We start from the raw sequence: 17939 nt of genomic DNA on the forward strand, positions 1-17939 counted from the left end.
CAGCCCACGTGACTACAGGGGCACTTGATGGGAATCATGGCAGCATCCAGGCCATTGTCCCGCTTCTGGGAGTGGGGAAAGAACATCGTCTGCGTGGGGAGGAACTACGCGGACCACGTCAGGGAGATGCGCAGCGCGGTGTTGAGCGAGCCCGTGCTGTTCCTGAAGCCGTCCACGGCCTACGCGCCCGAGGGCTCGCCCATCCTCATGCCCGCGTACACTCGCAACCTGCACCACGAGCTGGAGCTGGGCGTGGTGATGGGCAAGCGCTGCCGCGCAGTCCCCGAGGCTGCGGCCATGGACTACGTGGGCGGCTATGCCCTGTGCCTGGATATGACCGCCCGGGACGTGCAGGACGAGTGCAAGAAGAAGGGGCTGCCCTGGACTCTGGCGAAGAGCTTCACGGCGTCCTGCCCGGTCAGCGCGTTCGTGCCCAAGGAGAAGATCCCTGACCCTCACAAGCTGAAGCTCTGGCTCAAGGTCAACGGCGAACTCAGACAGGAGGGTGAGACATCCTCCATGATTTTTTCCATCCCCTACATCATCAGCTATGTTTCTAAGATCATAACCTTGGAAGAAGGAGATATTATCTTGACTGGGACGCCAAAGGGAGTTGGACCGGTTAAAGAAAACGATGAGATCGAGGCTGGCATACACGGGCTGGTCAGTATGACATTTAAAGTGGAAAAGCCAGAATATTGAGTTATTTCTTAACAAGTTTCGAGAGAGAAGGGAGCAAGACAAGAGCAAGCAACGGCTATTAAATGTCACAATCCTTTAATTAGAAACCATTTATTGGCCGGACGCGGTGGCTCACGCCTGTAATCGCAGCACTTTGGGAGGCCGAGGCGGGCGGCTCACGACGTCAGGAGATCCAGACCATCTTGGCTAACAGGGTGAAACCCCGTCTCTACTAAAAATACAAAAAATTAGCCGGGCGTGGTGGCGGGCGCCTGTAGTCCCAGCTACTCTGGAGGCTGAGGCAGGAGAATCAATTGAACCCGGGAGGCGGAGCTTACAGTGAGCTGAGATTGCGCCACTGTACTCCTGGGCAACAGCGAGACTCCGTCTCAAAAAAAAAAAAAAAAAAAGAAACCATTTATTTTAAAAATGATTAGATTGCTATGCCTCAACTCATAGAAGATGAACCCTTCAAGAAAACGTGAAGTAGAACGGGTGGGCCAGAAATGAAAACAGGCAAGTAAAGTATTTCTTCGGAAAACATTTTATCAAACCAAATGTTAAAAAGACTTTCCTTTTGTAAAACTGGATTAGAGAAGACTTTTCAGTGGGTTATCTCTAGGATGATCAGTAGTTCAGCACTTAAAAACTGCAGAGAAAACTGAAAGTTATGTTCCAGATAACTTTCCGTTGTTTACCAAATTTTCTTAGATTTGGTCATCATCAGGAAGCATTTGTAAAAATAAAAATCTCCACAAATTACTGGCCCATCTCGGACTTGCTGAATCAATTTGATAGGATTAATCTCCAGTGAAGCTGTGTTTACAGGGCATTCCAAGTGATTCTTATCAGGAAATGTGAAAAACACTCCTGTACATAATCGGTTAATTTAAAATTTTACTTAATAAGTGAACAAGTAATGAAGATTTCACCTGTTTACTTAGGGTATCTACCCAGACCCATCGATTCTGAGTTCGGGAGATGATTTTGAAATTACTGTTTTCCAAATAAAGGTGCTCCCTTCTAAGTGGCTTACAAGGGTAATTTTTTTCCCCCCAGTAATGACGAGGAGGGATATTTCCTCCTTGTGGGGCTTCAGACCTTAGTCTTTGACCTTTGGCCTTCTGAGCACTGTGCTGTGTTAACACAGTTAATCAGCAACTGTACTTCCCAACCGGAGATAAGGAGGCTTTGTGGAAGTTGAATAGCCTGGGACTGCTGCTTTTGCTCTTGCCTGCACCCTCCTCTGAAAAAACATCCAGGCAAGATGCACAGCATAGCTGTCAATGCCTGGAGGAGTCCTTTGGGCTTCGGCAGGGGTTCCTGTTCGCGTTCACATCATCTGCTGGCCCCTGAAGAAAGCCTAGGACATCTGATTGAGTAGTAACGGTCCCCATGTATTGAACACAGTACTGTTAGGCACCATGCCAAGCAGTTTATTCTGTATTTCCACGTGTTATGTAACCAGCAACCAAGCCATAAGCTTAGTATGATCACTACCATCCCCATTACTCAGATGAAGACAGATCTAGAGGCTGCGAAGGCTGGCTAAAGTCACTCAGCTTAGTGGCAGAGCCGAGATGTAACCCAGCTCCCCCAAGACCAGAACGTGAAGTTTTGACCACAATGCAGGCTGCATCTTGTAAGTAGATACATAAGAAGAATCAGACACTTAGGTATGCTGCAACCCCATGCTTAAATTATAATATAGTATGAGGAAGTGCCATAATTGGATTTCTTTATTAAGTATCATGCTATCTTAACTACTTTTAGTATTATTTTTTCATTGCTTGGCAATGCATGTAATTACAGAAGAGTCAGAAAATAGAGATTAGCAATTAGAACAAAACACCAAAAATTTCATCTACCCAGAGACAGCCAAAGTTAAGCATTTATTGCAAGTTCTTCCAAGTCTGTGGATATAATTGTAATTTTTTAAATAGAGTTTGCTCATACCATACAATTTTCTTTTTTTTCTTTCTTTCTTTTTTCTTTTTGAGATGGCGTTTAACTCTTTTTGCCCAGGCTGGAGTGCAGTGGCACAATCTCGGCTCACTGCAACCTCTGCCTCCCAGGTTCAAGTGATTCTCCTGCCTCAGCCTCCCAAGTAGCTCAGATTACAGGCATACGCCACCACACCCGGCTAATTTTGTATTTTTAGTAGAGACAGGGTTTCACCATGTTGGTCAAGCTGGTCTCGAACTCCTGACCTCAAGTGATCCACCCGCCTGGGCGTCCCAAAGTGCTGGGATTACAGGCATGAGCCACCGTGCCCAGCTATACCATACAATTATTTAACTTGCTTATTTCACTGTATATTGTGACCATCTTTTTCCTTGTTAGCTGACACATTTCTGCAGTACAACTTTCATGGATTGCATAAGATTCTGAAGTCAAGCCTCCATTTTTGGACCTTGAGATTGTCTCTAATGATTTGCTAGTATCAGCACATGTGCTGTTTTTTCCTTTGGCTAGGTTCCCATAAGTGGAAGAGTTGGATCAAAGGGCGTGCTCATGCTGGAAGTGTATTATTAGTCTGCTACCAGGTACACGGTTCAGCTGAGATATAGCTACCAAGTTGACAGACTATTAAAGTCAAAGTTATAAAGTAGAAGCAGTGCTCACATGCAGCCCTAGTAGGTGGCACAAGCCAGCACCGAGTACAGTGCCCCTGGGGTCAGTGTTCACCACAGTGGTAGAACAAGCTTTGTCACAAACATTGACATCAGCATTGCAGGTGTAGGCACACAAAGTCCTTAGATGCAAGAATCAAAAACAGAGACACCAAGTCCGACAATTCCTGATATTGCTAAAATCATAGTAATCCTAGCATTCAGAAGATAACGTTTTTCCACGTTTTGAATACATTTAAACCTATGAAAAAGTTTAAAAACCAATACAATGAACTCCATATGCCCTTTAATAGTTTCAACAATTACCAGCATTCACTATGTTTGTCCTCTGGTCCTACGTCTCTCCCTTCCTCCCCGCCATATATGTGTATATATGCAGACATGCACCTCTCTCTCTCTATACACACACACACACACACACACACACACCCATATTTTGGAAATGCGTCGGGATGGTGACTGCAGAAAGACTCTTCCCTTTCAGCATACATCTCCCAAGAATCAGGATATTCTCCTACATGGAAATGAGACCATTATCACGCTTAAGAAAATAATTCCACAGTGTATTAGTCTGTACAGAATATATGGTTTGACATCTGTTCTTCTGTTGTGTTTTTAAAACATGTTGATTGGCCTTTTATAAAAAAATGAGTATTACACATCCACTTAATATATCACGAACATATTTCCAGGTCAGTGAATATAAGTACAGGTACCCCTTTTTAATGGCTGTATCTCAGATCATGTACCCCAGAAGCACAGCCTAAGATGGGGATTCTTGTTCCCGTGATTTGCTGAAGGAGTGCTCTCAGGAGAAGAGAAGCGTAATGAAGCAGAAAGGGCAGGGAGCAAACTCCAAGGAAGAAAGTGGTCTCTGGGCTGGATATCAGCTTCAGTCAGCTGGTGAACCCAAGGGGAAGCTCTGGAGCGAGGAGTCTGTTGGCACCAGAATCTGCTCTCCCCGCCCTTTCCATAGCTTCCTCAGGTAATTTTCTGACCCTCATAGAAGCTGAGGGACTTCAGCAAGTGAAGATTTTCTGGGTGGAGCATCCCCGACAGATTGCACACTTTTCAGATGCTCTGCTATTAGAAACAATGATGCAAGGGGCATCCTCCATATACTCTACAGCAAGGGTCCCCCAACCTCCAGGCCACTGACTGCTACCAGCCCGTGGCCTGTTACAAACGGAGCCACACAGTAGGAGGCAAGTGAGCATTCCCGCCCGAGTTCTGCTTCCCGTCAGATCAGTGGTGGCATGAGATTCTCACAGGAGCGTGAACCCTTTTGTAAACTGCACATGCGAGGGATCTAGGTTGCGCACTCCTTATGAGTATCTAATGCCTGGATCTGAGGTGGAACTGTTTCATCCTGAAACCATCCCCGCCCCCCGACCCGGCAATCCGTGGAAAAACTGTCTTCCACCAAACCATTCCCAGGTGCCAAAAAGTTTGGGCCGCTGCTCTACATCATTGGCACTTGTTTGTTTCCTTAGGGAAGTCTTAGAAGTGAAATCAATGAAATGGTTTGCACTTTGAAATTTTGACACTTTTTGCCAAATTGCAGAGGAAAAAAAACTACCATGTTGCACTTGACAAGACTGTTTAAGAATACCTTTACACCGACACCCCAGCTAAGGCTGGGCATCATGGCTATGGTCATTCTTTTTTTTTTTTTTTGAGACAAAGTCTTGCTCTGTTGCCCACGCTGCAGTGGCATGATCTCGGCTCACTGCAAGCTCCGCCTCCCGGGTTCACGCCATTCTCCTGCCTCAGCCTCCCGAGTAGCTGGGACTACAGGCGCCCTCCACCACACCCGGCTAATTTTTTTGTATTTTTAGTAGAGACAGGGCTTCACCGTGTTAGCCAGGATGGTCTACATCTCCGGACCTCGTGATCCACCCACCTCAGCCTCCCAAAGTGCTGGGATTACAGGCGTGAGCCACCGCGCCTGGCCTATTTTCCTCTTTTTCTTAAAAATATAAGTGTCAGCTGGGCACGGTGGCTCACGCCTGTAATCCCAGCACTTTGGGAGGCCGAGGTGGGTGGATCACTTGAGCCCAGGAATTCAAGACCAGCCTGGGCAAAATGCCAAGATCACTGTCTCTACAAAATGTTTTAAAATTAACCGAGTAAGGTGGCTTCTCCTGAGCTCCTGGACACGGGGCTCAGTGGAGGGGGCACCATACCCACTCTTGCTGAACCAACAGTGGGAGCCAAGCCAGCACCAACCACGACACCCTCACTTCTCTCCTCTCCTTCCTTCCCTGTCCACCCTCCCCATTCACCTGGCTTCACAAACCCCCCAGTTCTCCCCAAGGGAGGATGGAAGGCCTGTTCTGCACAACTAGGTCAAGTCGTTCATTACCTTATCACCACAATTTGGACACTTAGGGGTGAACCTGCATCCCTCCTCTGTGGCTGCACATGGTAAAAGCCAGATAAAACATGACTGACGATGGTTTATCTCCCAACACCAGCCTTAGGAAACAGTTTCATATACTCACTTTTTCCTTTTTTTTCAATCCTGTGGTGGAGGGCATGTAGCCTTCTAAAGTACCAGGTCAAACCTCCCAGGCCGTGGGTCAACACTGACCTTAGCGGTGGGTCTTCACAGCTGGAGTCTGCGCCCTGAAGCAAGTGACTCTCAATGGTGTGCAGTTGAGCCGTTTACTTTGTGGCTGCTGCAAAGCAAACAGATAAAGTGGCAGCTGTCGTCCTCATGTCCTGAGTAGGTCCCCCTCAGAGTTCTGAGACCCAGGCATGCTCATGAACCTTTTGAAGTTGGTCTCCTCCCAGTTGATTCAGACTCAGTCATGTCAGCCCTGAGCCAGCAAGCCTCCACAAGCACTGGGCACTCCAGTGTGTCACCAGAGAAGACCAGGGACTAGAAGAGCCCCAGGTGCTCAAAGCAGTCGCACAGGATTGCCCACGACTTTGGCTATTCCCACCCAGCACCAAGAGCCCCTTGCCCTCATCCTGTCAGATCTGTCAGATGACGAGTCACCACCCAGCTCTCAGAAAGTAGTCTTTAGAGGTACTTTTTTTTTTTTTTTTTTTTTTTTTAAGACAGAGTCTCGCTCTGTCGCCCAGGCTGGAGTGCAGTGGCTGGATCTCAGCTCACTACAACCTCCTCATCCCAGGTTCAAGAGATTCTCCTGCCTCAGCCTCCCGAGTAGCTGGGACAACAGGCACGTGCCACCACACCCAGCTAATTTTTTGTATTTTTAGTAGAGATGGGGTTTCACTGTGTTAGCCAGGATGGTCTCGATCTCCTGACTGCCTTGGCATCCCAAAGTGCTGGGATTACAGGCATGAGCCACCGTGCCCAGCCCTTGAGGTCCTACTCTTTTTCCAGGGAACCAAGACAAATAATAAACTGGCTTAAGAAAATAAATCATTCACTCAGGATTAAGAAACTCACTCAAAGCCGTTCAACTACATGGAAAAGAAAATAAATCATTCAAATCTGTAGAAGATTAAATCTGTTTATTAATTCATGTAAACATTTTCCAACTTGGGAGGAGACAAGGCAAAGACAGTAGGAGGCCTTCTAAGAAGGGAGGTCAGATGAGAGAGGCCTTCAGACTCACCCAGACCACCTCCACCATAACAATTTCTAGAAACATGTTCACCACATGTAAACAAAATGCAATTTTCCCCATAATTTTCAAATTAATATTCCATTTTAAAGGGAGTTAAAACTCTTATACTTTTCCAGAGTTCAAAATGATAGACCGTTTTAAACATGTTTTTGTCCAGACAAGTTTCTGCTTGCCTCAGTAGGATCTGCAAGCTTGCACGAGAGTACACTAATTTTCAATCCACTCCTTGCTCTGTGTGATAGAACGAACTGCGAGGAGAAACAGAAAAAGAGACAAAAGGTTAATTTTTAAAATCCCCTTGTATATCAAGTTGAAAAATCAATGATCACGAATAGAGAACTGCAATGAAAGTTTTGTTTACAGATACTAATATAAACTTCCATTAGAGCTGTAAGATGATGGGAAGAGTTCCAGTCTCGGAGTACAGTTAATTTACAGGCCCAGCTTCTGACTGATTTTGTAAAAATTTTGTCACTTTTCATGCTATTTCTCTCAGGTAGGAAAGTTGGGATTAAAAGTCTAATGTGGCCGGGTGCTGGTGCAGTGGCTCACGCCTGTAATCCCAGCACTTTGGGAGGCCAAGGCGGGTGGATCACCTGAGGTCAGGAGTTCGAGACCAGCCTGGCTAACATGGTGAAACTCCCATTTCTACTAAAAATACAAAAAATTAGCCGGGCATGGTGGCACACACCTGTTATCCCAGCTACTCAGAAGGCTGAGGCAGGAGAATCCCTTGAACCCGGGAGGCAGAGGTTGCAGTGAGCAGAGATTGTGCCATTGCACTCCAGCTTGGGCAACTAGAGCGAAACTCTGTCCCCCCCACCCCCCCCCACTAAAAAAAATGTCTAATGCAGGGCTGGGTGAGGTGGCTCATGCCTGTAATCCCAGCACTTTGGGAGGCCAAGGCAGGTAGATCACTTGAGGCCTGAAGTTCAAGACCAGCCTGGCCAATAAAGTGAAACCCTGTCTCTACTAAAAATATAAAAATTAGCCAGGTGTGGTGGTGCACACCTGTGGTCCCAGCTACTCGGTGGCTGAGGCGGGAGGATCACTTGAGCCTGGGAAGGTTGAGGCTGCAGTAAGCTGTGATCGCACCACGTGCTCCAGCCTGTGTGACAGAGCGAGCAGAGTGAGACTGTGTCTCAAAAAAAAAAAAAAGTATAACATATGAAAAAGGGCTTAATGTGTGTTCAAACTACCAACTGTGATAGACTTTAAGCTGTAGCAGGGACTCAATCTGTGAGACTACAGGAATATGATGACATAATTTAATAATAGTCTTATTTTAATAGTCTTATTTTTTATAATTTATACAGCACTTTAACCAACATTTTATTTAATATAGAGTGGAAGGACATATCAACCACTTTAATTTCAAGACTGAGAGAAAAAAAAGTACCAACATCAGGGAAAACTGGGAAAGACTTTAAGTGGGCAATAACAATAAGTGGGTACCCTTTCAATGGAATGTTGTGGTAGTCTGACATTGGCTAGAACACGTTCAGAGCTGTCTGATTCTACAGGGGCTACACCTCCCATTGCACGGACTGAGCTGTTTTAGAACTAGGTTGTAGAAAGCTGACAGTGATTCGAATGACCCTGCTCATGGAATCCCCATGAAGTCTGTCTGAGTGAAGATGCACTGCTTCTGCCCTATAGAGGAGCCCAGAGGTTCATCTACAAGCAAACCCATTCAGCATTTTGCATTGCCTGCCTATGTATCTATTCTTCCAATTCCTTTTTCTTTTTTTTTTTTTTTGAGACACAGTCTCACTCTGTCACCCAGGCTGGAGTGCAGTGGTGAGATCTCGGCTCACTGCAACCTCTGCCTCCCAGGTTCAAGCAATTCTACTGCCTCAGCCTCCTGAGTAGCTGGGATGACAGGCACCTGCCACCATGCCTGGCTAATTTTTGTAGTTTTAGCAGAGATGGGGTTTCACCATCTTGGACAGGCTGGTCATGAACCAATTCCCCTTTGAATCCTTCTTCTCCCCTATATCTTACTGGTCCCCTCATTAATTAATGAGTTAAATCTTCAACATGTGTTATTTTTGTATGCATCATGGTTTTTGGATTTTGGTTTTGGATTTTACATCTTTTTATTTGTAAAATACTGTGTTACCTAATGCACGAAGCAGCTTGTCCATAATTATGAATATTTGTTAAAGCCACCTGGAACATCTGTTACACACATTCTCTGGGAAAGTGCAGTATCCACTTGAGGGTCATTCATTGTTGTATTTGAATCAAATTTAGAAAACTCTTAAGTTCCCATGAACTTAAGTTGATCAGACTCATTAGCAAGTGGTGCCTCCTGTCTGGAGGGAAAGTATACAGGGTCGGTCAAGGACCTAAGCATGCCCTGACTTGCAAAGAGACAGTATTTAGGGGCCCATGCTAACTGTTGAAGAGATGCAGCATCTTACTGCAACTTTACTGCCTTTGGCCTGGTAGTGAAGAGGCCTCAAGCCGAGGTCCTAGAAATATTGCTAAGGCCACTGGAGACTCCATGTCTGCAAACTATTCAGATGTGTTGGTGGCCATGGAAAATGGGAAAACCTGCTTATGAGGCTGAGATGGAGGAGATGCAGCATTCACAAATGCTCCTGCAGGATGTCCATGAGATGAAAACTAATTTCATAATAACACTAATTCTCTCATCAGCACGCAATGTTTTCTAGAGGCTCCATGATACCATTAGTCTGACACAAATGGAATGTGTGCTCTAGAATGTTTTAAAATTTTTTCAGTATTAAGCTGCAGTACAGCAAGTATCAGTAGATATAACCACACAAACGGGAGCACATTAACTTGCGGGAGAATACAAGAGAAAAGAGTTGAGAACCATGAAGTGAAGCAACTAGGCTGGCTGGGTCCAGTCTCACCTGTGACCCAGTGCAAGTGGCAACACTTCTTGGTCCCACTTTTCTCATCTGCAATAGGGGAGTTTGTCTCACTGCACTTTTCCTCCTCTGACACCTTGAACACAAAGACTCGAGGATCCTCCAACACTGAAGTGCCTCAGGAGGCAACTGTGGCCCTTCAGGGTTGGAGGATCATGGAATTTTGCAGGTTAGCAAATTTAATTAACCTCTGCAGGGTCTCACAGGCTGAGGTGTGGTGGGATTAGGATTCAGACCAAATCTGTCTCCCCGCAACAACCCAAGCACTTAATTGTGCTATCTTACACTGCCTCACTAACTGAAGGGAACACCACAGGGTGGGTGGGGGTGGGGACAACCTAGTCTGACCTTTTGGGGTTCAGGGGCCAAGAGAGGGGTCTCACTATGTTGCCCAGGCTGGCCTCAAACTCCTGGGTTCAGGTGATCCTCCCACCTCAGCCTACCAAGTAGCTGGGATTACAGGTGTGTACTATTGCACCCATCAGCTCTGATTTTAAAGCCCTTTCCCCTGTTTTGGATTTAACCTTAAAGGATATTTTCTTTGTTGGTCTATTTTCTTTGATGTCTTTGGTAACTCCTTTATACAATATGAAAAAACCCCTGGCTATTTCCTTTGCTTTTAGGATAGCTGAATCCTTATGCACATCTGGGAACTGGGCATTAGAAATAATAAATTCTCGAATTTATCTAGGTTTTTCTTATGGTTTGAATATACAGAATAATAAATATATAGAATAATATGGGACTATAAAATGCACTAACTTTTAAATAAATTTTGCTTCTTTCCAAGAGAAATTGCCACTTTAATGCTGTTTTCTGTTCATCTGTCATTGCAAGAAACTCATGTACCTGGTTAAAAAAAAAATATGAGACAAATATATTTGAAGTTTACAAAGAAAATTCATTTTTGACAACAGTGTGAAACAAACTTTCTCATTAGAAATGAAATTTTATTTGCAGTAATTACAGCTCAATCGTTTGTTTTTGTTTGTAGAGACAGGGTCTCACTCTGTCGCCCAAGCTGGAGTGCAGCAGTGCTATCACAGCTCACTGCAGCCTCGAACTCCCGGGGTCAAGCAATCCTCCCTCAGCTTCCCGTTTCTGAGGTTACAGGTATGCACTACTCTTCTCTGGCTAATTGTTTTATGTTTTATGTTTTGTAGAGACAGGGTCTCACTATGTTGCCCAGGGTGATCTTGAACTCCTGGCCTCAAGTGATCCTCCTGCCTCAGCCTCCCAAAGTGGTAGGATTACAGGTGTGACCCACTATGCCCAGCCAACTCAACTGTTTTGATAGAGAAGATAAGGCAGGAAAGGCTATATAAGCAAAATCTCCAAAGGTAATCAGGTATCTCAGCAAGGAAAAATCCCCTCAATAAAGTGGAAGCAGAATTTGGAACTAAAGTCTAATGGTAAATTTCATGAGCTGGTTTTAACAATAAAAAACAGGTGCCTATTGCCAAATGCACATGCTAATCCCTAAGTATCTGCTGCTGTTGTATAGCTGCAAATCAAGGAGAAAACGTGTAGCTGACTTTATGTAACTGAGTAGGTGAAACACAGCCAAATCTTCCTAGAAAAACCACCTTATGACTGATCAACATCTCCGACTTGTTGTTTTACCCATCGTTACTTGACTATATCAAACATCATGTTTCCTTAGTGTTTTGTTTTTTTTTTAATTATTTGGAGACAAGTCTTGCTCTATCACTCAGGCTGGAGTGCAGTGGCGTGATCTTGGCTCACTGCAACTTCCACATCCTGGGCTCAAGTGATTCTCGTGCCCCAGCCTCCTGAGTAGCTAGGATTACAAGTGCACGTCACCACACCCAGCTAATTTTTGTATTTTTAGTAGAAATGGGGTTTCGCCATATTGGCCAGGCTGGTCTCAAACTCCTGACCTCAAGTGATCCGCCCTCCTTGGCCTCCCAAAGTGCTGAGATTACAGGCGTGAGCCACGGTGCCCAGCCCTAAAACATCATGTTTATTTATCCATTTAGGCTAATGGCCTCAGTCATTACTCATAATAGTAAATATTAGCTAGGATTTTGATATAAAATATGTAACATTTGTTCATCAAAGCAATGTGTGTTTAAAGCAAGATGATTTTTTCCCAGGCTGTTTATTAGTGAATCAATTTCTATCAAATGTTTGACAAAACAACCTATATTTTTTTGGGAAAAAGCATTCACTTTGGAAATATTCTAAACATTTCTTCCTTTTTGCTATTTACCGTGCAGCCCAAAGTCTCCTCAGCAACACTTCCTGTGAGACTACAGGAATGAAGGGTGCCTGTGTGATCAGTCAGATCAATCAGCACATGGAAACTGAGAAAGACAGATTTAAAGTCCAAGGAGTTTTTGTTGCAAGTTGTGCACATGTTAGATGCTTCATTTACAATATAACCACAGCTGGAACTGAAAAGAAACAAAGACAATGATAAAATGTGATGCCCTAAGCTACAAATTTCATCTGTAGCAGAAAAAGAATTGTCACTAAAAACTCTACGACAGTGTGTGGAAAACTTACTGAGTGTTCAGTGCTATGCGGTCTACAAGACAGTCGTAAAAAACAGTAAAACACACTTTCTACGCAGCCATTCTCAGGAGTCATCTGAAACTGCGTACACCAGTCCTCTGCCTGCCCTCCTTCCCTCCCTCTGCCAAGCCCTCGAGGTCCATCCCAGTCTCATTTCCTTGCTGGGGCCCTCCCTTCTCGTATCCCAGCCTGCAGCCTTTCTCTCTTGGAACAGCAGCAGAGTGCACGCCTCAGGACTGACTGGTGCTGTTGCATCAGCTCCTTATTCTCACCTCCCTGGCTGGGAGTTCTGAGGGCAGGAACTGTGTCTTGTGCCTGGAAAGCACGAGTTCAACAGCTGCTCACTGGATGGGCCTGCACGGGGCCTTCTCTACAAATACAGAAAGCCTTGCAAGGCTGGCCGGGTAGCACCCAGATGCTATTAACACTGCTGGTGATACACTCTCCTCTCTTTCAGTGATTTATGCTATTCCATATTTCTGAAGCAAGCCTTACTTTAGCAATTTTAAACAGGGAAACTAATTCAAATTTCTCAAATAGGGGAAATGAACTGAAGATAGTGGTTTCTTATCTAGCCACAGATCACTTGGTCTAGCAAATTTTAGATGCTTTTCCTCAGATATCAATAATAAATGTACAGGAAAAAAATTAGTTTTTCAATTTTTGAAAACTATTTTTCAAAAAATGAATACAAGGCCTTACACAGCATCCTCCACATTACTTTTTTCAACTTTAATACCACATCATAAAATGTTTTAAAAATTCAGAGGTCAATATCTTGACTGTGGCAATAGATACACAAACTTACAAGTGTGATAAAACTAATGAGAACACACACACACGACTGCATGTGAACCTGGAGGAATCTGAATACGACCAGTGGATTGAATGGTGTTGATATCCTGGCTGTGACATGGTACTATCACTTGCAAAATGGTAACACTGGGGGAAACGGGGCAAAAGCCACAAGGGATCTCTCTTATTATTATTTTTTTTTTTTTTGAGACACAGTCTCGCTCTGTCGCCCAGGATGGAGTGCAGTGCAGTGGCGCAATCTCGGCTCGCTGCAAGCTCTGCCTCCCAGGTCCACGCCATTCTCCTGCCTCATCCTCTCGAGTAGCTGGGACTACAGGCGCCCACCACCATGCCCGGCTAATTTTTTTGTATTTTTTAGTAGAGACAGGGTTTCACCGTGTTAGCCAGGATGGTCTCAATCTCCTGACCTCGTGATCCACCTGCCTTGGCCTCCCAAAGTGCTGGGATTACAGGCGTGAGCCACCACGCCCAGCCCTCTTATTATTTCTTATACATCCATGTGAATCTAGGATTATCTCAATGAAAATTCAGTTATAAAAATCCATAGAGAGACTTTCCTAATAATATTACACATTTCTTGCCAAGCATCTTTTAGCTAAGAGTATTAAATCTACTGGAGTTTACTTTCTTTTCTTTCTTTTTTTTTTTTTTTTTTTTTGAGACAGAGTTTCACTCTTCTCGCCCAGGCTGGAGTGCAATGGTGCAATCTCGGCTCACCGCGACCTCCGCCTCCTGGGTTCAAGCAATTCTCATGCCTCAGCCTCCAAAGTAGCTGGCATTACAGGTGCCCGCCACCACACCCAGCTAATTTTTTGTATTTTTAGTAGAGATGGTGTTTCGCTATATTGGCCAGGCTGATCTCAAACTCCTGACCTCAGGTGATCCACCTGCCTCGACCTCCCATAGTGCTGGGATTACAGGCGTGAGCCACCGTGCCCGGCCTGCAGTTTACTTTCTATGCAAGTAAATACTAACTTCGATCTACAAGAGGTTTGATGTTTCCTAGGCTGGACTCAAACTCTTCAAACTCCTGGGCTCAACCGATCCTCCCACCTCAGCCTCCTGAGTAGCTGAGACTACAGGCGCATGCTACTGCACCTGGCTTGAAAATAATTTTTTTTTAATGCTGTCACTACATTGCTATAGGGCCTAGCAACCAAAATAGCTTTCTGCCAAATCATTAGACAAGTTTGTCAAAAGTTTCTCACATTATATCTTTATATGTTAGAATTATGGAAATACAGATTATATTTTAAAAGGCAATTATAATATTTTAATCTGGTTTGCTATGGAAACTTTTCAGTACAGTTTTTTACACATTTATCTCCAATACATAACCCCTGTTACATCAACAAACAGCTTTAACTTTTAGAGAGCTTAAAATTTATTAACAATAATTATTTCTTACAAAAATGAATTTGCTAAAAGTGACACGGATCCTTACCATCTATTTCGAACTACTTTTGTAGTTTCATCATCAATGTTGAGTGTGGAAATGTAGGCATAAAGGATGCCATAGGAAGGATCAGCTTTTCCTTCATTCTTCAAAGCTTTTCCCTTTAATTGTTCAACTGTGTAGACATCAACTATTGTACTTACTAAAAACAGAAAGAAGTATTACAGTTCTGTATATATTCTAAAAAATATAAAAGGTTACATCCGAATGGAAAGCTATGACAAATGAGAACATGCAGTAGCTTAAGTAACAGAAAAATTACTATGTTGGCTATATAAACACTGATTCTATAAATGGACATAAAAGCAAAACATAAGGAAAAAAAGGAAATGAAATTAGTCTTCATTAAAATGAAGAATTTCTGTTCATCAAAAGACACCATTAAAAAGTGAAAAGGCAAGCCACAGAGTGGGAGATGCTAGCAGTCTACAATGAGATAAAGGACTCATCCAGAATTATCTAAAGAATTCTTAAATATCAATTAGAAAAAGACAGTGACTCAGCTGGGCACAGTGGCTCATGCCTGTAATCCCAGCAATTTGGGAGGTCGAGGTGGGCAGATCACCTGAGGTTGGGAGATCGAGAGCAGCCTGACCAACATGGAGAAACACTGTCTCTACTTAAAAAAAAAAAAAAAAAAAATTAGCCAGGCATGGTGGTGCATGCCTGTAATCCCAGCTACTCAGGAGGCTAAGGCAGGAGAATCGCTTGAATCCAGGAAGTGGAGGTTGTGGTGAGCCAAGATGGCGCCATTGCACTCCAGTCTGGGCAACAAGAGCAAAACTCCATCTCAAAAAGACAGTGACTCGATTTTTTTTATTATTATTTTCATTTTTATTTTTTATTTTTTGAGACAGAGTCTCACTCTGTCGCCCAGGCGGTAGTGCAGTGGCGCGATCTCGGCTCACTGCAAGCTCCGCCTCCCAGGTTCATGCCATTCTCCTGCCTCAGCCTCCCGAGTAGCTGGCACTACGGGCGCCCGCCACCACGGCTAATTTTTTTTTGTATTTTTAGTAGAGACGGGTTTTCACCGTGTTAGCCAGGATGGTTTCCATCTCCTGACCTCGTGATCCGCCCGCCTCGGCCTCCCAAAGTGCTGGGATTACAGGCGTGAGCCACCGCGCCCGGCGACACTGACTCAATTTTTTAAATGGGGAAGAGAATTTAAAAGTACATCACACAGCCAGGCGCAGTGGCTCACGCCTGTAATCCTAGCACTTTGGGAAGCCGAGGCAGGTGGATCACGAGGTCAGGAGATCGCGACCATCCTGGCTAACATGGTGAAACCCTGTCTCTACTAAAAATACAAAGAATTAGCCGGGCGTGGGGTGGGCGCCTGTCGTCCCACCTACTCCAGAGGCTGAGGCAGGAGAATGGCGTGAACCCGGGAGGCGGAGCTTGCAGTGAGCCGAGATCGCGCCACTGCACTCCAACCCGGGCGACAGAGCGAGACTCCATCTCAAAAAATAAAATAAAAAAAAATAATAAATAAATAAAGTACATCACAAAACAAAAGTTATCAAAATGGCCAATACACGTACTGGGCCTCAATAATCATCAGGAAAATACAAATTAAACAAGAGTAGGCCGGATGTGGTGGCTCATGCCTGTAATTCTAACACTTTGAGAGGTTGAGACTGGTCGATCGCTTGAGGTCAGGGGTTTGAGACCAGCCTGGCCAACATAGCAAAACCCTGTCTCTACTAAAAATAAAAAATTAGCTGGGTGTAGCAGTGTGTGCCCGTAATCCCAGCTACTTGGGAGGCTAAGGAAGGAGAATCGCTTGAACCCAGGAGGTGGAGGTTGCACTCAACCGAGATCGCGGCTTTGCATCCCAGCCTGGGTGACAGAGCCAGACTCCATCTCAAAAAAAAAAAAAAAGAGAATTCCACTAAACACCTAACATTTAAAAGAGTAATAACACAACATTAGTGAGGATGTGAAGCAACAACAAAAATAAACTTTACAAAACTAAAGACAATAACCTATTATTCATTTTTATTTTTCTTTATCTTAGAAGAATCTTCCAGGAACTAATATTACTTGGGTTAGAAAACTTTTATGAGAACTTATCCGGTTCCTTCAGCACTTCATTGGTTTCTTTTCTTTTGTTGATGTCTAGTGCATGAAATTTAATTTTCTTCAATAAAAAGATGGTGATGTGTATCTATTTATCTATAATATTTTTATGTCTTTATCCTTCTATTAGTATATATGCACAAAAAGATAGATTAAAAGATGTTAACCAAATAACTATTTGGGGCTCTTTGTTGCATTCTGTATTATGTTTCTTTTTTTTTTTTTTTTTTGAGACGGGGTCTCGCTCTGTTGCCCAGACTGGAGTACAGTGGTGTGATCTTGGCTCACTGCAACCTCCGCCTCCTGGGTTCAAGCAATTCTCCTGCCTCAGCCTCCTGAGTATCTGGGATTACAGGTGCCCCCTACCATGCCTGGCTCATTTTTTGTATTTTTAGTAGAGACGGGATTTCACCATGTTGGCCAGGCTGGTCTCAAACTCCTGACCTCAAGTGATCCCTCCACCTTGGTTTCCCAAAGTGCTGGGATTACAGGCGTGAGCTACCACACCTGGCCAAGCATTCTGTATTGTGTTTCTTTTATTTTTTTATTTTTTGAGATACAGTCTTGTTCTGACACCCAGGCTGGAGTGTAGCCTCGCTCTGTCACCCAGGCTGGATCTCAGCTCACTGCAACCTCCACCTCCCAGGTTCAAGGGATTCTCCTGCCTCAGCCTCCTGAGCAGCTGGGATTACAGGCACATCCCATGATACCTGGCTAATTTTTGTGTTTTTAGTAGAGACGGCGTTTTGCCATGTTGGCCAGGCTGGTCTCATGAACTCCTGGGCTCAAAAGAAAAAGAAAAAGATGCCCACTATTTTAAGCTACCTTTAGAAAGTAGAAATATAGTAGTTACAGAATAGGAATCTGGTATCTTTTACCATGTCAAACAAACCTTTACAGGCCCAATTTCGGCCTTTAAAAAAATCCAAATATATTTAAACGGTCACTTACAATTTATGGATTCTTTGAAATAACTGTCAATTTCATCATCCAGAACATTCGTTTCTTTATTTTCTCGTATAAAATTCAGCAGAATGTTAGCTTCTGGTATATCTTAAATTGAAAATGCATAATAAGTAAAAAGCAAACTGATTATCATTTAAATCACATTTAAATCATCCAAAATCATTTTAATAGTAAAAAGTGAAGACATGTAAGAATACAATCAAATAGAATATTACGTGGCCATTAACAATGTGATGTAGAATTCTGTAAACATAGAGAGATGTAC

General features: G+C 43.9%; 2 protein-coding genes across 7 annotated transcripts in view, besides 2 other annotated features; one reads left to right on the forward strand and one right to left on the reverse strand.

The window, feature by feature from the left end:
- On the forward strand, positions 4-13005 carry FAHD1 (fumarylacetoacetate hydrolase domain containing 1). 5 transcript variants are annotated; one of them, NM_001018104.3, is made up of 3 exons: positions 4-663; positions 10814-10932; positions 12060-13005. In NM_001018104.3, the coding sequence occupies exons 1-2, from the start codon at positions 37-39 to the stop codon at positions 10922-10924; spliced, it is 738 nt and encodes a 245-aa protein (NP_001018114.2). In that variant the 5' UTR covers positions 4-36; the 3' UTR covers positions 10925-10932; positions 12060-13005. The 5 variants fall into 5 exon arrangements, with proteins under 5 accessions (NP_001018114.2, NP_001135870.2, NP_112485.2 ...); XM_047434729.1 differs by having other exon boundaries at positions 21-2323; NM_001142398.2 differs by lacking the exon at positions 10814-10932.
- Positions 34-223: an enhancer, noted in NCBI's record as "active region_10240". NCBI's record gives its function as "activates an Ori minimal core promoter by ATAC-STARR-seq in GM12878 lymphoblastoid cells {active_cell/tissue: GM12878}" and the evidence as "EXISTENCE:reporter gene assay evidence [ECO:0000049][PMID:35858748]".
- Positions 5646-5940: a silencer, noted in NCBI's record as "tiled region #12541; HepG2 Repressive non-DNase unmatched - State 2:TssF". NCBI's record gives its function as "represses a minimal TATA promoter and a strong SV40 promoter by Sharpr-MPRA in HepG2 cells {active_cell/tissue: HepG2}" and the evidence as "EXISTENCE:reporter gene assay evidence [ECO:0000049][PMID:27701403]".
- MEIOB (meiosis specific with OB-fold) overlaps positions 6784-17939 on the reverse strand; it is a 38179-nt gene continuing 27023 nt past the window's right edge. The window contains exons 10-14 of one of the 2 annotated variants that reach the window (NM_001163560.3): positions 17660-17761; positions 14618-14771; positions 12053-12236; positions 10582-10668; positions 6784-7164 (exon numbers count right to left, since the gene is read on the reverse strand). In NM_001163560.3, coding sequence (NP_001157032.1) covers positions 7054-7164; positions 10582-10668; positions 12053-12236; positions 14618-14771; positions 17660-17761 — 638 coding nt within the window. In that variant the 3' untranslated portion in view covers positions 6784-7053. The remainder of the gene's footprint in view (positions 7165-10581; positions 10669-12052; positions 12237-14617; positions 14772-17659; positions 17762-17939) is intronic. The other variant, NM_152764.3, reaches the window with a different exon arrangement.

Source organism: Homo sapiens, chromosome 16, assembly GCF_000001405.40.
Source record: "Homo sapiens chromosome 16, GRCh38.p14 Primary Assembly".
NCBI lineage: Eukaryota > Metazoa > Chordata > Mammalia > Primates > Hominidae > Homo > Homo sapiens.